Here is a 22,758-nt window from a genome sequence, read left to right as displayed (position 1 = left end):
ACATATATACACACATACACATATACACATATATACACATACACACATATATACATATATACACACATATATACACATATATATACACACATATATTCACATATACATACACACACACACATATATATATATGAAAATTTTGCCTATAAAATTGGAAAAGATTTTTTAAAAAGGTATGCCTCTCCCTGCTGGCAATGGTACAGAGACCATGGGAGCATGCTCAAACCCTGCAGTTGTCAAGGACACAGGTGCGACCTTCCTGTAGGATAACTTGGCAGAACAGGTGTATCAAAGCCTTAAAACACACACACCTTCTGACCCAGAAATGCCACTTCTAGTAATCCTCCCAAAGCAAATAATCAGGGACATGGACAAGAAGATCATTTCTGCATTACTTCCAGTCACAAAAAATACAAAATAATCTTAATACCAACAAGGGAATTGGTGAAATAAATTATCAAACATTACTATAATGTGCTCTTACACAGAAATTCAAAAGTATTTAAAGAAAAAGGTTATGATCAAGAGGTTCCTACTATGTAATGGGAAAGTAAGATTCAAAACAGGGTGTGCAATATACCAACTAGGTATACCAACTAGGTATACATTTTATGATCATACAGTGCACTGAAAAGTTAACAGTAGTTATTTGTAGTGGTTTTTCAGAACCTTCGACATTTTTCTATAATGACTGTTACTTTTTGAAATAGAAGTTTATATTTTTAAGCTTTGTTACTTTAAAAAAAATCAAAAATAAGAATGAAAAGTAACATGCAATAAGATCTAGATTCTCCAACCTAGAGATTATAAATGCAACATCTACCACCTTTTTACTTCTAGATTTACTGTTGATAAAAGAGTAACAAAAGTATGCCAGATGATCTAGCATAACAAGTATGCCCAGATTATCTGAACTTTTCCCAAAATGCCTCACCTCCTGAAGTGAAAGAAGCGGCAAAACACAGGTGAGTCCTTCTGTTGCTCCTTATCCTTGCGGAGACTGTCCAAGCGACACTCTCGGCATTTAGGCAACTGTGCCACGATGTTCACACAAGAATCATCCTGTACGAAGGCCTCGCCACTCTGTTGCAGCTTTTTGAGTTTAGCTGGGTCTGTCAAAACCGACTTCCTGGATGGGGCTAGGAAAACAAAAGATTAAGGAGACAGGACCTCAAATTTTTAAAAATCACATTCATATATGACTGAATTCTATTCAAAAACCCAATATTCCCTTAAAGAGAACTCCCTTCTCAATTCCTGGTTCAATTGTAATTTCTAAAAATGGCTCAACAGAAGACAACTATCAGAATAACTGGGAAAGTTTTACTCTCTTTATAAAACAATTCTTATTTGCTCAATCCATTTGGCAACATAAAACCCCAAATTAAACAGCCAGACTCACAATTCAAAGTTAATGTATACTTCTATTCACAACTCTACATTTTAGGATGTTTTCAAATCAGACATTTAATTCAAACTCGATCTCGAGGCTCACTTCTGCAGAGGCCTGACTTAGTAGATGTCCATTCTGTCACTTTCCAAATTCAAAAAAGACTGGTTTAAGGTGTGTTTTTAAAAGTACAATGCAAAAGCTAACCATTCTAAAAATAACAATAAACGAATCACTTTCCTACGTAGCCCCTGGGTCTATGGAGTTAGAGCATCTTCTAAATGCCTGTCACTTGACTCCTGACATGTCTCCCCTTCTTTCACACATGTGGTCCAAGCAGGATTAAGAGCACTGGCTACAGACAGGATTATCATTCTAAGTAAATGCAGATTTTATGTTTTAACTTGTAATAGGCCGGAGAATTTGAAATGTTAACATGGTTTCTAAAGACAAGGTAGACATGTATCAGGAAAGAGCAATCACCGTGTCAGAGAAAATAACAAAGTAAGGAATCCATTTGTATGTCAAGAGCCTTAAGGAGTATTTCATAGAAAACAGAAAAGACCTTTTCTTAGGGTCCCAGAGAGCTGAGAAGAGGGAAGTGGGTTTTTAGGCAAACAAACGAAAGTCAAAAACCAACAGCTTCTGGGGAACTAGTTGAGAGATGGGTGGGAGAGGTGAGTCTTGGAGAAAATTGGAAGATCCCAAACCAAAGAAGGTTTTAAATAAAGTAAACATCTTCAATAATTACCTTAGAGGTGATCTAATCTTACCTCTCTTTTAAAGCAGGACTAGACCACATGTAAATTTCTACATGATGCTGTTAGTCCTTGATCCCTTAAACACTCCTACTCAGTTATAGTGAAAGAGAAGGTAAAGTAAGAAAGGAGAGAAAATAAAGAGATTAGTAGTTCAAGGATGTAATTTTAATTACTCAGATATTGAAAGACATCCTTTGAGTTGAGCCAGGCTTCCACAGATCACAGGCAAGAAGGTTATCTTATCTGTTCTATCCTGGCTCACAAGAGGAAATATCTAGAAACAAGAAAGCTGAACTGTCTAAATCTAGCTCTTTACTGAGGAGAGCAACAGGTGCTACCATCAGTGATTCTCTGAATTCAAAGCCAAGTCAAGAGAAAAATGCAACGCCCACTTCCGAGGAGCCACGTATCTATCTGAACGGAAAAAAAGGCAGCTGTTTGACTCCAGTTTGCTTTTGTTTTCTAGACCCCAAGTGGAAGAAAGGAGCAGAAAAGTTTTCCAAGCCTTCTGTACTAACATGCAGTACTAGTGGACACAGCTCAGAAGTCCCGGTAGGCTTCTGATCACACTCTCACACCTCAACCAAAAAAAAAAAGTCACAGTAGATAGCAGGATGTGCTACTCCAGGATGTAAGTTTTTCACTTCTTTTAAAATCCATTAGATGGGGAATAGCTACATAACATATTAAATGAGACAAAGCTGGACTCCGTAACTCACTTGTGTATCTATCATGTGCTTATTGCACTAGAATCTTTACTGTTTCGTCACATAATATTAAATTTGCTTCAAAAACTAGCTGTGTGTGAGAGCTGATGATTCAAAAACAACAAATAGAACAAGGATATGGTTATGAATATGTACTTTCTTTTGAGTGTTACCTAATTTCTGAGAACAGGATAATCTTATGCAATTAATTTTATGCAAATTAACAGCTATATTAACTTAAGCCTCAATGAAGAAGCTAGGTTAGAAGTATTGCTAGGCAAAGAAAGTTCTTTCTATTCTTCCAATGCTATACTAAAAAGATTCGCAAGTCAAATCCAGCCATCTTGCCCTCTAATTTCACAGAGGCCTGCAGTTAAAAAGATAGTGTAGATATATTCATTTTTACTGATCCAAATAAATAAATTGTTTTCGTAGGTTGTTTTCGTTTGTTTGTTTTTTGAGCCAAGCTCTCACTCTGTTGCCCAGGCTAGAGTACAGTGGTACAATCATAACTCACCGCAGCCTCCAACTCCTGGGGTCAAGCAACCCCCCTGCCTCAGCTTCTCCAGTAGCTAGGAATAACAGGTGTGCCCCACCATGCCTGGCTGATTTTTAAAAAAATTTTTTGTGGAGATGGGGTCTCACTATGTTGCCCAGGCTGGTCTCAAACTCCTGGTCTGAAGCAATCCTCCCACAGTGGTCTCCCAAAGTATTAGGATTACAGGTGTTAGCTACTATGCCCAGCCTAAAACATTAACAAAATCCATATCAATTTCCCACATAGCTAACAGTGATCAAAAGGCATCTTTAAATTCTAATAGCTCTAAACCTTTTGACATGCTGAAAACATTTTGTTCTTCTAACTCTAGTAACAGAGCTTCTGATAACTACCACCATTATAATGCATCCTCAAACTTCATATAAGTAGCATCAAGTACAACGTACCAATTTCCCCATAAGAAGAGTAGTTTTAAATTGTGGGTGCAGCAGGACCTCCCCTTAAGCAAAGAGACTCTTCCTGGTAGTTCAGCCCTATCCGTAACATCTTTAACCCAAGTCCTTTTTCCAGAAATGATACAATTCTGCATCTTTTCTAAAATTTCAAATCTTAGCTACCTGTCACAGATCACCTCTTCCTACTCCAACCTGGATGTAACAGAAAGATCAGTGACAAGCTGAAATAAAGTAAACACCAGATTACTTTAGATTTTGTTTCAAAATTTTCTTAACCTAAGAATTGGGAACCACCTAATTACCCACCTAATAGGAACCAGTTAAATCCTATGGTAAATGAACATAATGGAATCCTTGCTTTAAAATACTAATAGACACCTACACTAATTCACAGGGTAAAATTATTGGCATGAACCCATTTGTGTAATACAGTTTATCTGTATTTCTATATACATGAAACCAGGTACACCAAAATATTAACAGTAATCGTTTCTGAGATTTGGGAATTATACCTTCTTTCAACTTTTCTGACTGTATAAACTATTTCTACAAAGTCATTTTCACATAGTTTCTCATAGGACAAGAAAGAGATATATATATCTACCATTTCTTACCTTCTACCAATAAAGATATTGAGAAACACTCACCATTCTGGATTTTATTGTTGCTTCTTGAACAACAGCTTTCATTATCTACTTTTACTGAAGATTCCTTTAAATTCTGTGATCGGCAAGCTAAAGCTGAAGGTTCTACCTTTTTTCCTGAACAGTTATTAGGGCTATCACTATTGACACCTGCTTTCACTTCTGGTGCATTTGAAACATCCGATGGGGAAGGTGCATGTTCTAGGTGCTTCTGCAGTTCAGGAGGATTGGCAATTTCCAATTCTGCCTTAGAAGAAGCCTTTGTAGGTAAGCACTCCTTAGGAAGGCCAGTCAATGCTTGTGGAACAGACTCCAATCTGTTTTCCTGATCAGTGTTTGTCTTAGGCTGAGTACAGCTGCCTTTTGGCTCAGTCAGAATTTTCAAGTCTCCAGTTCCAATCTGAGAGGACTTTGAGAGCAACCCTGCTTTGCAGACATCTGGTTTTGTTCTCAGAGCTTCAGACTTTGTATTTAGACAGGAAGAAATTTCCTCTGGTAAACTTTGTTTATGACATCTGAAAAATATAATATAGAAAGCTAGCATCCAGGCCTCTTTTTATCTCTCCATTATCTTCCCCAAACAAACTGTTTGGTTCCCTAAGGTAACGAGTATGAAAGAAAAAAGAAAATTTCTCATATGTTACAGAATTTAGGATAGATTTCTGTGAGCTAGAGTTAAAAGTCATCAGTCAATGGTTCTGCAAAAATCATAAACACTCAGAAAAATACAACCCTAAATTATGTCTGCACGTTCTCAGAAATCTTTAACTTCTTACGTTAGTTCTACTTCTCACAGCACAATGAACCTTAGCTTTCCCTCAAAACAAAATATTGTATGAAACCAAAGAATATACTCAGCAGATAAGCTGGTTTATAAGTATCAAAACCAGAAGTCTGTGTAGGGGCAATTCCGAAAGTTTTCTTTCTTCTTTTTTTTTTTTTTTTTTTGTGTGTAAATTTCAGAGAAACCTCTGCTAAAACTCTTTCTTCTATAGTAAAGATTATGTTTGAATTTTAAAGATAAAACTCCATTCTTGCTACTTGCCAAGAGTCAAAAATTGAACCTCTAGTAAAGGTCAATGTGTCAAGATAAAAATTCTAAAATATATACGTATATAAAAAATGTTAGAAATCCCTTCAAAGATATTCACACAAAATCTAATTAAAAACGAACAATGGGCAAGGCACAAGGGCTCACACCTGTAATCCCAGGATTCTGGGAGGCCAAGATGAGAGGACTGCTAGAGGCCAGGAGTTCATGACCAGACTGGGCAAAATAGCAAGTCCCCCATCTCTACAAAAAAATTAAAAATTAGCCTGGTGTGGTGGCACGCGCCTGTAGTCCCAGCTACTTGGGAGGCTAAGGCAAGAGGATCAATTGAGCCCAGGAGTTCAAAGCTGCAGTAAACTTAAACTTTGACTGTACCACTGCAACTGCACTCCCTCCTGGGCAACAGAGCAAGATCCTGTCTCTAAAAAACCTCAAAAACTAAAAAAAAACTAACAAACTGGCAGCAGCACAAAACCCTTTTCTGCTATGAGCAACATGTAACCAGCCCTAACAGAGAATAATTTCATTCTTGTTTGTTCAGTGATCAGCACACAGAGCAAATAGAATAGCTGATTGATTACTTGGTTATTCACAGAACGATTTGGTATTTTCCCTGTACATCTTACTAGGGATAGCCTTGAAGAACTTTTGTTTCTTAGCATCCTAGAGTTCTTTCTCCAGAAAAATGCAAAGTCCTTTTTTTCTATTATACCTGTTTGTTCCTGCCTCTACCAAAGGACTTCACCCTGGAGAAGAATTTTTCATTTAAACACTCAGATGAAAAATCTTTCCTTGGATATCACTGAACTTCCTAATGTTCCCTCCGTTTCTATTTTGAAGACTGCTCCTCCTCCTGTCTGACTGCCACATGGCCATCCTCCAAGCTCTATCCCAGACTGACTACTTTTTCCCAGTGAACCAGTGTGCTCAGCCACTCTCCCACCTTCCAAACCTACTTTTCTATACCACAGTCTCTCTGACCTACATCTTAAGGCTGTATCAACTGCCTGCCTACGCAGGCCACCACCACTTCCCAGAAGAGATCCTTCCCTTGAAACTACTTGCTCTGTCAACCTTGTACCTACTTTAAACTTTCTAGTGAAACTTTACATTTCGTACTCATTTTCTTCCTCTACAAGTTAGTAACAGTTACCACCTACAGATATTGCTTCCTCATTTCTATTATTCTTAGAGTCCTCTCTACTGCCAAATTTCTCAACTATACTTGGGTCAATTCATGTCGAGGCTGCGGAGAATCTCTCACTGTAACCATGTCTCACTGCTTCTTCACACTCCCACTGACCTCAGTCTTCCATGTACAACCAATCTGTTCCCTTTTCCTTAAAAGAAGACACCTGTTTTACAAAGGTACTATTTCAATTGCTCCTTCACACTGTATCAAGACAGTCTCTTTTCTCATGCCCCCTTTCACTTCTATACCATTTTCTATGTTGCTCTGTGTGCCTTCTATACTTTTCACCTTCAAAAGCATCTATCCATCTTTTCTCAGAAACTCTAACGAAAAACCTCCCTGGACAACCAGGGATAAAAACAATGAGCCATGACTAAAATAATTTTTTATTATTATAATTAAACATCTTTAACAAATCACTACTCACCCTTGAGGAATTTTTGCTCCAAGGTTAGGTGGAGAGTTGGCAGCCTGGGGAGTACTTTGCTGTCTTGGGTCCTTACTAGGTGGAGTTGCCGCAGTACAGCCAAGCAGTATCTCCTTAAAAACTGTTGTAGGTACAGACTGCACAGGACACATACTGGGAGAGGCCTAGAAGATACCAAACCAACAGATATTAAAAGGAAGTCCCTAGTTAGGAAATAATAAAATGCTACCAAATTTAAGATCATTTGCTTAATACTAAACAAACATAATACCATTGCCAAATAAAAAGAAACAGGAAAGTGAAACAAGTGATAAACTATACAATTCAGGGCTTTAAGACTGTAAGTAATCACTCCAGCTTTTCACAAAACTTATGTCTTCCTACAAAGGATCACAAGCTTATCTTTTTCAGACCTCTGAACCACTGTGCCAGGAAAACAGTCAGGTGGCAATTACTTTACTAATGCAACGCAGAGGTGAACTTTTAAGTGACAGTTTTAAATGGTGGCAGCTTCACATGCATTCACTTTGGCATGACTTGAGTGCCCACCACGCACTTACTGCATAGTTTGGCAGGAGACCAGACCACATAGGACTCTTGTAGGCAGGGATGCCTATTTGGTACCCAGATAAGCCTTTGCAATGCAATAAAAGTTGAGGACAGTTCTTGCTCTTATGTGGCTCATCAAGTCACAGAAGTCATCCCAAGCTGCAAAAAATATCAAGTTATGACAGGCCTGTGGGCAAAGTTGGGACACCTGTCCCAGTTCCCTTTTCAGGTAACTTAATCTTCAAAAAAAGGAAGTATTGAATCAACTTCTTAACAGTTTATACCATTCACAAAAATAAACTTCCCACCATAAAAAAGAAAGGAGAAACTCAAGACAACTAGTCTAAGGCTGAACCAGGTGAAACCAATTCACCCATTTCACCAGGCTCCTCACATGTGCTTAAATTTTTAAGTTATATACCTTAAATTTTTAAGTCATATACCTTTCTCAATCGTCTTGCCTTACCACCAAATCTAAACTTGAAGAATCTCCAAAGTTTCTTCATCTTCTAGTCATTAACTTCTAAAGTTTGATTACAACTTCCACTAATAGGTTTTCTGTTTTGTTTTTTGTTTTTGAGACAGTCTCACTATTATCACCCAGGCTAGAGTGCAGCAGCGCCATCTTGGTTCATTGCAACCTCTGCCTCCAGGGTTCTAGCAATTCTCAGGGCTCAGCCTCCCGAGTAGCTGGGATTACAGGCATGTACCACCATGCTCGGCTAGTTTTTCGTGTTTTTAGTAGAGACAGGATTTTGCTATGTTAAGGCTGGTGTCCAACTCTTGGCCTCAAGTAATCTGCCTGCCTTGGCCTCCTAAAGTGCTGGGATTACAGGCATGAGCCACTGTGCCTGGCCAGCAGGTTTTTAAAACCTGACAATTTCGAATATATTTATATGTACTCTACTCATGAATGCTTTTCTCAGAAATTTACTTGACAGCCTTGAAAAGACTAGCTAGCATATACAGATATATCTGAAAAATAAGAATTTAATCACTGGCAAAGTTTTGGCATAGTTTCAACTATTTTTAGGCACTAAATTATCTGATCATATATTACACTATTTCAGTCAACTCAATTTTGGTTAAATAGTACCTTAATGTTCTCCAGAAGGTGTGATGGTTGGTTTTGGGTGTTTTTTGAGTTTCCTAATCCTTTAAATGAGGAAATTTGTTTATTCCTAAAGTCCCTTTTGCTTGTAATAGTTTGCAATTCCCTGTTAATCTGAGGTTAGTCTCCCAAAGTTTAATGCTAAATCATTTTGAAATGCTTATTCAAGGCTCAATTTTACCAATTATCTTTCCTCATATTGGTCACCTTCCTTATTCTGAATATGTTTAGAATTGATGCACTAATACCTTTCCTCACTCTCCCAAGAGCAACATACTTAAGAAATTTGGATTATAAACCTAAGCATAAATTTTTACTCTGTATAAAATCAAGCCGCTCAAGTTAAAAAAAAAAACCCTCCATCTAATTTCCCATATGTAATCAATAAACCAATAAATCTTGCCTCTATTTGCAAAGTATGTATTGAATCTACCCATTTCTTTTCATGTCACTACTACTACCATCTTTCCCCTAAGCTACACATGTCCTAACCAACCTTCCTTCCATTCTTGTTGAATCCTCTGCATCCTACCCAAGATCTCTTCTACCACAGAGCAATCTCTATAAAACATAAATCAAATAAGATCACGGCAGTCCACTGCCTACAAGAATCCCATGTGGTCCAGTCTCCTTACCACTCCTGCTCCTCCTCCCCCCATCTCTTTCACTGCCCCGCTTGCTCACAGTACTCCAACTACACTTGCTTCCTTTCTCATCTCCTAGTGTTCTAAGCCCTTTCTTGCCTGGGCCTTTGTACTTGTTATCTCTCTGGCTACATCGTTTTCAGTGGCTGGTTGGTTCTCTCTGTTCACCCTCAAGTCTGTTAATATGTCACACTCTCAGAATTTCTGATTACTCTTTCTGAAGTAGCATCCCAAAAGCCGTCCCTTACTCTTTATCATTTTTCTGTTTATACCTTTCATAGCCCTTATCACACCATGAAAGTACCTTTCACTTATTCACTGTCAGTCTCCTCACAATGGGACACACACTGTTTATGGGCAGAGGCCCTGCTGTTGCGCCCACTGTTATAACCTCATAAAACCAAACATACAGTGGATGCTCAATAAATAAGACTGGTGGAATGAACATACCAAGGAGTGAATGCTGTTAGCATGTAACATTTCTAAATAGCTATAAATCAATAAGTCTTATGAGTTACCTGAAGTGACAGGAAGTGATGATCACCACTGTAGATCAGTCTAGCATACACTAAATATGCAATAAATACTTGTTGGAAGGAGGGATGGAGGAACAGAGGGAAGGAGGGAAGAAAGGAGAAATCTGCTATTTTTACAAGGGTGATTCACCACACCAAGGAGAAGATTTGGAGAGCAGTGGCAACAGCACAGTGATGAAGAGTACTGGATTTTGGTGTTAGCCTTTGGTTTGAAATTCAGTCTCTAACACTTCCTAGCACTTTCTTCCCATGAAGTATACTTTACAGGGCTGTGCTTTTACCATAGTGCCTGGCGCTGAAATCAATTTTAGAGATGAGCTGTCTTAAAGCAGAAAAACATTGCGAAAATTTTCTCAATTCTGTCACCGTGTGTTAGAATTAGCACAACTTAGCGTGCTTTTCCTTTAAGAAACTCAAGTATTTCCTTCTACAACTTTCCTAAGGTTTAGCTCAACAGGAACAGGACTCCAATTCCCAAACCCATGTTCACGAGTGCACCTCCGCACTGGCCTCTGACTCAACAAAGGGTCAAAGTTTCTTCTTACCTGAAGAGTTTTCCCTGAAGGTCTTCTATACCAGTCATGGCAATAGTTCCTCCCTGCCAGCAGACGGAGATAATATAATTGAGTGTATGATAGAATTCTAAAAAGGACACTGCCGGCTCACATTCCTCAGCAGACTCTTTCCCAACTAACCAGGCAACGTCGTAACTCTGAGGAATAGTCTGCTAGGCAGAGAAGACCTTCAAGGAGCCAGGTATCACTGGCAAACAGGTTTATCTTAACCAAAAGTATTCATCAAGACAGTCAAGAGTCTTGCCTACTAGTCCCAAATGCCTGTCTTCTAAAGACCACCCTAAAAGTGCCAGTCCAACACATCTGGGAAGTGCAAACACAGTGAGAATCGTGCTGAGTGCATTACTGTACTCACCTTTCACTCATACATTTTCAAAAACTTTCTTTCCCCACTGCTCCCTTTATCTCTCCAGCCCTCCTGAAATCTAGGCCAGGCCAGTGTATCCAAAACTTGTCTGACTACAAGAATCACCCAGAACGAAAGACATTTACCGATATGGAATAATAGTTATAATACATTGCAAGGGAATCAAGGAGGCTACAAGAGTATGGTTTTTAGTTTTAAAAAACTAACAAAAAAAATCAGGTCTCTGTGATAAATACAGGGGGAGAAGAGACAGAAGGAAAGTATTTCCTTACATTACATTTGAAGTATTTCAAAATGTAAACAGAGAGTCTCTGAGAAGTATGATTACAAGTGATGATTCTATTCTTTACTATACTTTTCTAGGTTAACCAAAAATTTTCAAATGAGATGAGCTTCACAATCAAAAAAATATTTTCAAGAACTTCTGAAACCCAGGTAAAAATCCACCTTCGACTTCCTTTAGAATGACGTGACTAGCATAGAGCTCAAGAGCTGCAATGTACATTTTTAAAACACTTAATTTAGTTTATCATATTAGATGCAGAAGTTAAGAAACTTATCTCCAGGCTGAAGTGCAGGCTTATTTTTTTAATAGCTTCTAATGTGCCCAACAATCAGCTCAATAGCACACATAGTATGGGCAACATGCTGAGAAAGATAAAAAAGTAATGCTTCTGGCCTTGCAAGAATTTGAATCAAGGAGACAGGATCATATCATATATGTCTATATGCCCACATTTTACAAGTACCTCCTTGAAGGTTAGAAATTTACTTGCTCAAACACCTTTCTCATTGCTGACACACTCAACATTCTGAAGGCACCTTCCCCCAAGGGAGGTTCCCACTGACCTCAGTTCTGCTTGCACCCCAGATTGATCGCTCCACCATCCAACAGGATACGTCATTCCTATTCCCAACCCTTCTTCCTCAGCAAGTCTCACAGCTCAGCTCTCCTCTTCATCATACTCCCAATTTACACTGACACATTCCCCATGACAGGCAACACACAACCAACTTCTCCAAACTGATATTTACTACTTCTAACTCTAGACTGCCAACAATTTCTCTAACGTTAAAACCTGACATAAAGAAATTATTATTATATCCTGTTTATCTCTCAGCTTCTAATACTATGGATTACTTGACAATATTGTCTCTGAGCTTGACATCCTCTGTGTAGTCCTGGCCACATTAATTACCCAGAGCCTTACTATCTGTTCCCTTCTAGACCAGGGACCCCTATTCCTCAGCAGCTCAGCCCCTTTCTATACTGGGAGACTATATAGTATCATAAATAATTGCCTGACCATGTCACTTGGGCTTCCTAAGCTAGAACTGTCATGTTCTTTGAGGCAGACATTCCATTTGTTCTACCTACTTCATTAGCTAGATTCCTGTGCTTCTTCAGTCCTAACACCTAGTCTTCCACCAAATCCAACTACTGCTGTCTCCTAAATAGCTCTCCACCCCCTTAGCTACCGCCTCACCTCAAGCCTATTTATGATGTGCAATACAACTAACCTCATCAGTGCCCTCATTTCTATTCTCATGTCCTTCCCTCATCCATCATCTACAGAGCTTAAGTCAATCTCCTGAACTTAAAACCCCTGAACACCCCAGACACCCCCTCTTCATCTGCAGCATAAAACCCAAACTTCCTATCTCTGACCCTGCTTCTCTTTTTCCATGCCTCCTGTGCCCCTGCCACAATGAAACATTTGCCCTTCACCAAACAAGACACGTCCTCCCTGTCTGAGAGGCTCTGCCCAGGCTGCTTCTTGAGGCACCTGCAGAGCTCCTGACCAGAGCACTCTCCCTGCACTTGTGGGAGCCCTCTGGAAGTCTGTCTCCCTCACTATCCTATGGAATCTGAGACAGGAACTCCAGATACCTTTCAATCTCCAGGACCAAGTATCCACCACACAGTGAGTACTTAATACAGTAACTATGGTTTCTTGGATGGATGTACTTGAAATTACCTTGTAAACTTTAAGGCAAAAATGAAAGGTAGTAAGACTAATTTCCATACTTAACTCTTCATTCTTTCCTAAACAACCTGAGCCTCAAGAGGTCAAAGCCTATACCCTTCAAAGGAGGACAGAGGCTTCAGACACTGGTTTACAAAGCTTTTGGTGAAGTATCAAAGTTCCTGTTGCCTGTATACAGGAAAGATTCAAGAAAGCCAATTAACCATCCTAGCTACACAGACTCAAGTGTTTGTGTGGCACAGTGCTAGCTTTGGTTCTAGTCGATGCTGTAGTCCAGTCTGCCCTTAATCAAGAAACCCAGATTTATTCATTGGCTTCCTGGCCCACTCCCCATGCCATTTCTCCTGGCCTTGGTCAGTTTTTAAATTTTAAACTCCAGCCTGGGGCAGAGCATTATAAAGGAGTTTTTGATAATTATAACACAGGAAACTATCCATGTGACATTTAGGCATTTGGATTCCTAAGGTGCCAGAAAGTTATTTGTATTGGAATAGGTCCTAATGATTTAATTCACCTAAAAGAGAAATAGTCTCGGTCCAAATGGTAACTATTTCAGAATAGAATTAAATCTGGTACCTGAACCCACAGTAGCATTCACAAAAGCCTATACTTTTCTGGACAGAAATTAGTAATGGCAAACCAATCACTTTCCTTGAAATACATTTGTTTACCCAATCATAAATGACCAATTAAATTCCTTATTATTGAGAAGGTGAAGGTCCTATTTCAACACCCAAACTACTCAGAATTCTAAGGCTCCTTCCCTCTTTTCATGCCAGGCATTGACACACACAACTCAATTTACCTTTAAGAACACTTCCACATGGTGAAATTGTCAAATCTATTGAGAATCTCCAGCAAATACCAAAAAATGAAACTTTTTTACATAAAATAGTGAACCATAAACTTATATTATCTCCATCTGCTTCAGTGTAGAAATTATGGCCAAGATCTGGAACTAGCAAAGAAGAGCAGACAGCAATATAACACTAAAAAAATTTGCCACGCAGCCAGGGGCAGTAGCTCACTCATGACTGTAATCTCAGCAGTTTGGGAAGCTGAGGCGGGAGGATCGCTTGAGCCCAGGAATTCAAGACCAGTCTGGTCAACATACCAAGACCCTGTCTCTACAAAAAACACAAAAATTAGCCAGGTGTCATGCATGACACATGCCTGCAGTCCCAGCTACTATGGAGGCAGGAGTTCAAGGCTGCAGTAAGCTCTGGTTGCACCACTGCACTCCAGTCTGAGTGACAGAGTGAGATCCTATCTCTAAAAAAATAAAAATAATTAAATAAATAATAAAAAATAAAAACTAGCCATGCAATGTTGGAGTTAAGGAAAGCTTTACACAAGTGACATAAATAAAGGTTACCTCAGAGCAAGATTTTGCTTGTTTGGAAACCAGGGTTCCATTATTCTCAGAAGACTTGCGTTTTACAGCTCCAATTCTTGCAGAATTACCTAAAATATTTAAAAATAGGTTAAGTTGGCTTCCCTGTTTCTCTTAATGTGAGAAGAACGGAGGAAAGGAGGAAGGAGAAGAAAGATTTTAATAACATATCTTACCACATGTCACAAGGTTATCGTGTACAACTTCAACATGAATCAGTGACGGATCAACAATTTTCAGTGCTGGAATCTTAAAAATAAATGAAACAAAGATACCGGAAAATAAAAAATGCTCAAGAACATACTGAAAATCAGGTTCATTAACATAACAATAGGAGCTTCTTATGAATAATTTCTTTTTAAAACAACTGTAATTATTTCTACCCTATAAAATAATAAAGGTATTTAGTGCCTAGAAAATCATAAATGCTTTGTATAGTTATCATGCTTTGTCGAGTTATCTTACAAAGAGTTATTGTTGTCTTTACCTCCTCACAGTTGACTTGAAGAGTTTTTGATGCTGGGTTTCCATTTATAACGGTTGCTGAAAACCACTGAGTAGATGGGTCCAAGCTATAAATTTTTACTTCTGAACCAACTAAGTTTTTGTCACCTTAAAAAAAAAAAAAAAAAAAAAATCTTAGAGCAATTTGCATTATCTCCCAATAGCAACATCATCCAGGACAATCTTTTCCTAAGTCTTTTTTAAAAAAACGCAAAAGTAAACATTAAAAGAATCACTACAAACATAAGATGACTGACATTTCAGAAAAGCTATGAGAAAATTTAAACTTTTTATTTTGTATCGGACCAAAGTAGTATTAGACAATTCATCAAGACCTCACTCACTGTCCTGTGTAGTTTTAGAGGAATCAAATTCAGGAACCCCAACAAAAATACTATGTCTGATAATCTAAAAAACACAGAAAAAAAATGTATGATTGTAGAAACTCAGTAACACAAATGGGAAGGTAAGGAGTATCAAATTAATGCCTTATCCATTTTATATGGCTGATATTCCAAACATATCAAATTCCACATCAAAATATAGCTGAGCTTTAAAAATATCTTTTTTCTTTTCTTTTTTTTTTTTTTTTTTTTGAGACAGGGTCTTGCTCTCACCCAGGCTGGAGTGTAGCAGTGTAATCAGGGATCACTGTAGCCTTGACCTCCTGGGTTCAAGTGATCCTCCTGCCTCAGCCTCCTGAGTAGCTGGGATTACAGGCATGTGCCACCACACCGGGCTAATTTTTTTAAAAATGTTTTGTAGAGATCGACGTCTCCCTGTGTTGCCCAAGCTGGTCTTGAACTCCTATCCTAGGCTCAAGCAATCCTCCCACTTTGGATGTCCCAAAGTGCTGGGATCACAGGCTTGAGCCACTGTGCCTGGCCCTACTTTACTGTTAGTTTCATATAATCCCTGAACTTTCCAAATTTCAGAGGTTTTAGCAACACACACATTTTTTGAATTTTAAATTTTAAATTTCTTAAAAATTTATTTTAGAAAAAAAGTAAGAAATGGCCCGGCGTGATGGCTCACACTTGGCAGGCAGATCACTTAAGGCCAGGAGTTTGACACCAGCCTGGCCAACATGGTGAAATAGTGAAATCTTGTCTCTACTAAAAATACAAAAACTAGCCGGGTGTGGTGGTGCGTGCCTGTAGTCCTAGCTACTTGTAAGGCAGAGGTTGCAGTGAGCCAAGACAGCACCACTGGCACTCCAGCCTAGGAACTAGACTGTCTCAAAAAAAAAAAAAAAGAAAAAAGAAATTTCCATGAGCAAATGAATGAGAGGCTAAACCCTAGTTTCTCACAAGCTAATCATTGGTCAACTCGTGAACTATCACCACTAGATAATGCATATACCTTTTAAAAGATGGCTTTCATCTAAATGCTTCACAATCAAAGCTTGAAATTCTTTACTGACAATCTGATTATCCGTAAGAGAAAGTCGAAGACTGTTTACATCCTGAAAAATGAAAGATCATTACATGTTAAGGGTAACAGTTAATAAGAAGAGTTATTTAAATTCCAGTGGGCTATTTCAATTGGTTAATCAAATGGGTTAAAGTAGTGTCAACAAACCATGTGATAGCCCAAATCATTCCAATTCCAGTAAACCAGATGGCTCAAAAAGTCCTAGACCATCAAATGATCACAGCTATAAGGCAGACTGAAGTAAAGTCATCCCAAGCTAGAAGCATGAGAAATATTAAGAGGAACTCAAAGCATAATTTTAAAAATGACTAACTTTGGCAATGGGAAAAAAGTAAGCAAACAAACAGCTGGTCAATCCAAGTAAAAAACACTCTGTATCCTAAATACTGGGGATGGGGAAATCACAATCCAAATCCAAGGGACAAAAAACACAGATATGACACACAAGAGACAGATGTATATGGTCGATTCATTGCAATTACTGTCTGGGTTTTTTTTTTATTTTATATAACACACTGCATGTACTATATAATACACTGTGTAACCTACTAGCAGGGGTAGATGACCATAACTGAGAGTTAGTTTATTCATCAATCAGAAAAATGTTTCCTTGATCAATGTTCTCCAAACCTTTTGACACATTGTAAAGATTAACTCCAGAGGTACACATATCTCTTTCCACCAAAGTCCACTGATAATGGGCAGCCCTTTTTTCCATATTCCCATTAGTAAACCCATGGCTGTGCCCAGTGGCCACCCTGGGGATGAGCAAGCATGCACCCATGATGGCAATTTTAGGGAAAATTTTGAACCACATCTCAGCCTGGTTACCTAGGCCAAAACCCTATTTTCTAAGGCCCCTTAAAGCTGACCAAGCTTCAGCTCCCTTCCTGGTAAGAAACTGCTGTTTTTAACAACTCATTTCACACAGATTCATTTAACCTAACTAGTATTACAAAATGCATTCTTTTTTACAAAAAGGGAGGTGGGGGGACAAACAGAAAATCTGAATGAATAGCCTAAGGCGTCAGAGTAAGCCAGTTCTGAAACATTCAATTCTTGGCAGCAGCTCCATTCTTGGCACTATTCCACAGTCTTCTGGCTTTGTGTGCACACCCAGTTATGATAAATGTAATACAGAAACTGTCAATAGGAATAACTTGCCAAACCGAATTCTAGCAGGGCAAAGAAAAAACAGTGCTCAACACAGAAGCCCTTCCAATATCAGGGCTTTATGCTTTTCTGCCACTGTGAAATGGATAATGACCAAGAATGGGTCATCCATTTTTCCCACTGGGAAGGATAACTAGTCTGTTAGAGAAGCTGTGCTGGAAAAATGTATTTCTTTTGCCAAGTAACATTAGACAAACCTAGGGACTCCATAAGAGATCAACATTAATTACCAGAATGGGTTAGTTTTTGTTTTTTTCTCATGCATGTATTGTTTATGCAATTTCAAAAAATTTAATTATATTCTCCAATTCCTACTACAAGATGAAAGTATGTATCAATGGAAAGAGCCGCAAAGGGCTTCAATAAAGTAGAAAAATATTAGGCTGCCTAGGAGAGTTTAGGGCTTAACGAAAGTGCAAGATAGTTGTCCAGATACCTTATCTTTTTCTTACCAACAGATAACTGAGTAAAATTCAATCTAAAGACGGACCCTAACTTTCAATCCCAATTTTTCCACATGCCAAATGATTTTCAGGTGCTCTGTGCATTATCTAGAGCAAGTATCCTACTGGGGTAATCACATCCCCCAACGTGGAATTTCGTACAGCCTACTGTGAACACCCATATCTACAAGATAATTCTCTGAAGTACTAAACTTTGAAAACTCAACATCACTAAAAGTCAAGACCACACATTATAGTTCTCCCAGTTAATTGTATATCGTATTAATGACAACATTCACACTGATGGCTCACAGCCCCACAGCCCCTCTTCCCGAGAACAAATATAAACTTACTAATTTAGATGTTTCTTTCTCAATCCCAAGAAACAAAACTAGGGTTCTACCTTAATTGAAAACCTTAAATACAGGAAAGATGTAAATTCAGAAAACAGCACTAAGAATAAAAAATTCCTTTTATTACTCAGTAAAGCAAAATATCCACAACCCCCCTGTATGTTATTTGATCCCTGCAAGCAAGTCAGTCTTCCTTTTAAGTCAGGAAAAATATCAAGATGGGTATAACACAAGAACTTGTGTCTGAAATTAACTAAGTGAAAGCATCTTCCTCTGTTCCATTACTTAAACATTATAAAATAAGGTTCAGATTATGAATCCTGTTTTCACTCACTTTCCAGATATGGAAGTATGGATGAGACTCAAGTAGAGGAAAAGCCAGTGCTTTGGGCTTCCCGATACAGGCTCGGCAACCTGATAACCACTGACCCCAAACTACTTTTAGCAAATAGGTTTCATAGTTCTATACCCCAAAGAAACAAGTCAGGTATGAAGTCACAAAACAGAAGGCGGTAAAGAAGATTATTCAGCTTTATAAATGATATCTAAAAGATGAATATTATTATAATGTGTGTGTTTGTATGCGTGTGTGCAGTCTATTCTCATCATTTGCAGTAGTTATGTTTTATCAAGTTGCAAAAAAATGTTTTATTAACAAATACTGAACCATTGCTCCTAGGGGAAATACAGGTGTAGGTTCCTTCAAGCCTCTGGTCACATTTTCAACAACCAATTGACACATAATCTTGTTTTATGTGTTTCTGTTGAAAGACATCTTATTTAATATATACTGCTTATGCACTAACCTTGAATTCACAGCCAAGAGCACTATAACTCAGACGAATGAAGCTTATCTAACACATGTATTTTGTTCTTAAGACACATCATGGCACTTCAGCACTGCTTTTGGGGGCCATTTTAAACAGTGAAATCACCAAAAAAAAAAAAAAAGCACAAAAATGCAGCACTAAATAGACTGCAAAAAGCACACCTGTTTACAGCATAAGTGAAACAAGGTGGAACATCACCTTATTTAACCTTAGCTAGGAGCTGGGAACCTGCATCATGCAACTCAAATTATTTGCAGCTCTGCAAGTACTGGTGAATGACCATGAACCACCACAAGTATTGATTTGGGGTTACAAATATATTTTAGCAAATAGGTAAATTCACAAACATAGAATCTACAAATAATGAGGATTGCTTGTATATATGTATGCATGAGTGTCTATGTATGCATGCACATATATGTATATAAACAACGGTCTACTTTTAAATATTATTTTCATATCACCTAAGTGTTTCCATACACACACACCATCAACTATAATACCCTTGTCCTTTCAACCGTAAATGGACAGCACTAACCTAAAAGCTAACATTGAGGAATGATGTCTAACACCTAACTGCTGATGGGATGGGTTCTTTCCTGTTAGGTATTTAAATTAGAGCAGTCAACATCAATATACAGTTGGCCACTGAACAACACAGTTGTGGACTGTGCAGGCCCCATTATAAACAGATTTCCTTCCACCTCTGTCACCCGAGATTGCAAGACCGAAAGTCTACTCAACATGAAGACAAGGACAAAAACCTTTTATAATGATCTACTTCCACTTAATGAATACTAAATGTATTCTGCTTATGATTTTAATAACATTTTCTTTTATCTAGCTAATTTTATTGTAAGAATACAGTACATAATATATATACAAAATATATGTTAACCAACTGTTTATCAATAAGGCTTATGGTCAACAGTAAGCTATTAGTAGAGTTTGGAGGGAATCAAAGTTATATGTAGATGTTTTACTGTGCAAGGAGTAGGCATCCATAATACCCACACTATTTAAGGTTCAACTGTACTTTACTTCTCATGTTAAAGGAGTTCGTATTTCTGTTTCTAATGTTTACTACTGTTTCTATGTTTTACCTGTATAGGCTTCAAAAGGTCTTTAGAAAGAAATACTCTTTGTTGATCTCCCAGAAAGCGAACAGAAGTTATGGATCCCAAACCAGCTTTGTCCAACAGAGGTTTGTACGTCTAAAACAAAAGAAAACACTTTAGCATCATAACTGCTGTCAGCATAATTCTGAAAATAGGAACTGGCAATTTTCCACACACAGAGAAAGTGATAAAGCCACTAATTTTTTTTATTTACTGCAAGTTATCTCATAACAACTATTTATGCAGCCATAGATAATACAATTTTTATTCAAACCCAATAATTTAAACCAGATAGACATTTGGGAGTTATTAATATTCAAGACTGGGTTCACAGATTCATGGTGTCCCAAAAATTTATGCAAAAACTGTTTGTATGCACACTTCTCTGGGGAGACAGGCCTGTGTTTTTAACCAGTTCTAAACAGCTGGAAAAAAAAATACAAAGAGCAAAATAAAACTTTAACCACAACCCTCATCTCTCAAGAATCTCCATAGCAGCTCTTTTCACTCATGGGCAAAATCAGATCACAATCTGATCAGCCTTCAACCATTCTCCCGGCCTTTCCAAACTATCCAGATCCAACCTTCCCTCCTTGAAGCACCAGCTCAAGTCCCATAAAGACTAAAGTGCCCTCTCCAGACAGCGCTCACTCTTCTCTTTGCACCACACTTTACAATGTGGATATAGCACAATCATATACTGACTTATAGTATCTTTAAAGCCAAAAAATATAATAATCCAGAGGGAACCTTAAAGATCATAAGATCAAGACTGGAAACCCTACAGAGAGCAAGGCAACAGCTACTATTTGGCTCTAGCCCATTGCTGCCATAAGGCTCCAGTGTTGCCATTATCTTGTAGATTTTTTAAGAGACAATGGAAATCTAGATTTTCAGATGTATTCTCCACATTTTTTAAAGTAGGCAATTAATTCAAATGTTTTGAAAGTACTGCAAGGGCCAAACCAAACAGATCTATATGTTTGCATATGACTGCTAGTTCCTGCCTTCTGACCTAGACATTCCCACTACTACCTCCATCCCTATTTGTCAAGTGAACACGAGGTCCAACAAAGTCAAGGGACTCGCTCAGAAGTGCAGAGTTCTTAAAAGGGCTGGCAGGAGATCCTGGGAGCTTTTCTGACTTTCTGGCATTACATTTACATATTCCTTTTGTACCCACAATGGATAAAATGCCCTCTTCTCAGGAGTTCAATAAGCCCAAGTTTTACTCACTATTGCAGGCCACTGTACAATTCGTTCAGAAATTTCAGGTGACTTTCGTTCAGCTAAAACCAAATTATGTTCTACTAAAAATGCTCTCCTTAGAAGGCTGTAGACTTCTATCCATCTTCTTTTCCTCCAAGATTCCCCATCAAATTCCACACACACCTAGACAGACAAAATTGGGGGGTGGGGGAAGCAGATTCAATTTATTAAAATAAGCATTACAAATGCCCCAGCTGAACTATACCTTCATTATTCTATTTGAATCCTTTATCTGGATGTGCTTTCCCCCTTCCAGCTCCCTCACTTCCTGTCACAGCCCACAATACATAATCACACATGAACCAGGCTTTGGCTCCCAACTCACTTCGGGATGCAGAAGTCAAGGCTTTTTGGGCCAGTCTGTGTCCCTAAAGTAAACCCCTGGGAAGCCCAGAAACCAAACAACCCCTACTTATCAGGCGTTTACATACATTAATTAGACATCTGAGCTTTTGGAATTGCAAGACAAAAATTTGAAACTCAAAAGATGTACTTAATAAAACTGCACTGTAATTGTCTATTGACAATATAAGTGGGCTTAAGATGACCCCCCATCACCACAATCCACCACCTCCTTTTGAATTCCTCTGGAATGAGTAAATTTAGCACAAGGCCTAATATACAGCACATCTTCAATATCCCTTTCAGTTGAATAAGCTAGGAAATTTACCACAGAATTTGGAGTCTTAAACTACTTGTTGGATAACATAGAAACGAGTGATTAACAAAATGACCACAAAGTTTTTCAGAACTATCTCTAGCTTCTTATATGAAAGTTAAACTACCTTGAAATATTGTTTTCCAAGTAATTGTAATGTTTTCTGCTTCTGACCTGCATAATACTTTTAACCCTAAGGCTACAACTCTTAAAACCTGTATACATATTTAAAGACATTAAGAAAATTCAGTCTAAAAGTGGGCTTCTGGGAGTGATCTATGAGTAGGAATTGTTTACAAAACCATAAAACTCAAAGTCATATAAAAGCATTGAAACACTCCAGCTTCCTTAACCTATTATAAATATGCTACCCCTTAACTTACTCTAGGTCCTCTTCAATGCTTTTTGTATTCTACCAATGACAATAAACTCCCTCGATATTCAGTGTAAAAATCACTGTTTTTATTTGATTTAAAATTCCTCCTCTTACTAAAGAGGTCTCTCATTTTGGTTTCCAGGAATTAGTTAATACATCTATCATCTATCAAATCTGTTCATCATTTTACAGACATCACTCATACATCCCTTTTCAACCTTCAGTTTATTAACTAGTTAACTTCATCTATCAGAGCACAATTCATATATCCTTTCCTCAAACAAACCTTCCCTTACCAAAGTGCCTCTCTC

The 22,758-nt window shown here is 38.1% G+C and overlaps 1 protein-coding gene across 7 annotated transcripts in view; it reads right to left on the bottom strand.

The window, feature by feature from the left end:
• KDM3A (lysine demethylase 3A) overlaps positions 1-22,758 on the bottom strand; it is a 55,673-nt gene that overhangs the window by 21,374 nt on the left and 11,541 nt on the right. For 6 of the 7 annotated variants that reach the window (XM_047445102.1, NM_018433.6, XM_047445101.1 and 3 more), the window contains exons 3-11: positions 21,381-21,536; positions 20,130-20,240; positions 16,156-16,258; positions 14,777-14,901; positions 14,466-14,538; positions 14,272-14,360; positions 7,127-7,290; positions 4,460-4,971; positions 935-1,139 (exon numbers count right to left, since the gene is read on the bottom strand). In XM_047445102.1, coding sequence (XP_047301058.1) covers positions 935-1,139; positions 4,460-4,971; positions 7,127-7,290; positions 14,272-14,360; positions 14,466-14,538; positions 14,777-14,901; positions 16,156-16,258; positions 20,130-20,240; positions 21,381-21,536 — 1,538 coding nt within the window. Of the gene's footprint in view, positions 1-934; positions 1,140-4,459; positions 4,972-7,126; positions 7,291-10,511; positions 10,565-14,271; positions 14,361-14,465; positions 14,539-14,776; positions 14,902-16,155; positions 16,259-20,129; positions 20,241-21,380; positions 21,537-22,758 lie in introns of those variants that run through there. The other variant, XM_047445105.1, reaches the window with a different exon arrangement.

Source organism: Homo sapiens, chromosome 2 (assembly GCF_000001405.40).
Source record: "Homo sapiens chromosome 2, GRCh38.p14 Primary Assembly".
NCBI lineage: Eukaryota > Metazoa > Chordata > Mammalia > Primates > Hominidae > Homo > Homo sapiens.
This window is presented reverse-complemented; position numbering and strand designations above follow the sequence as displayed.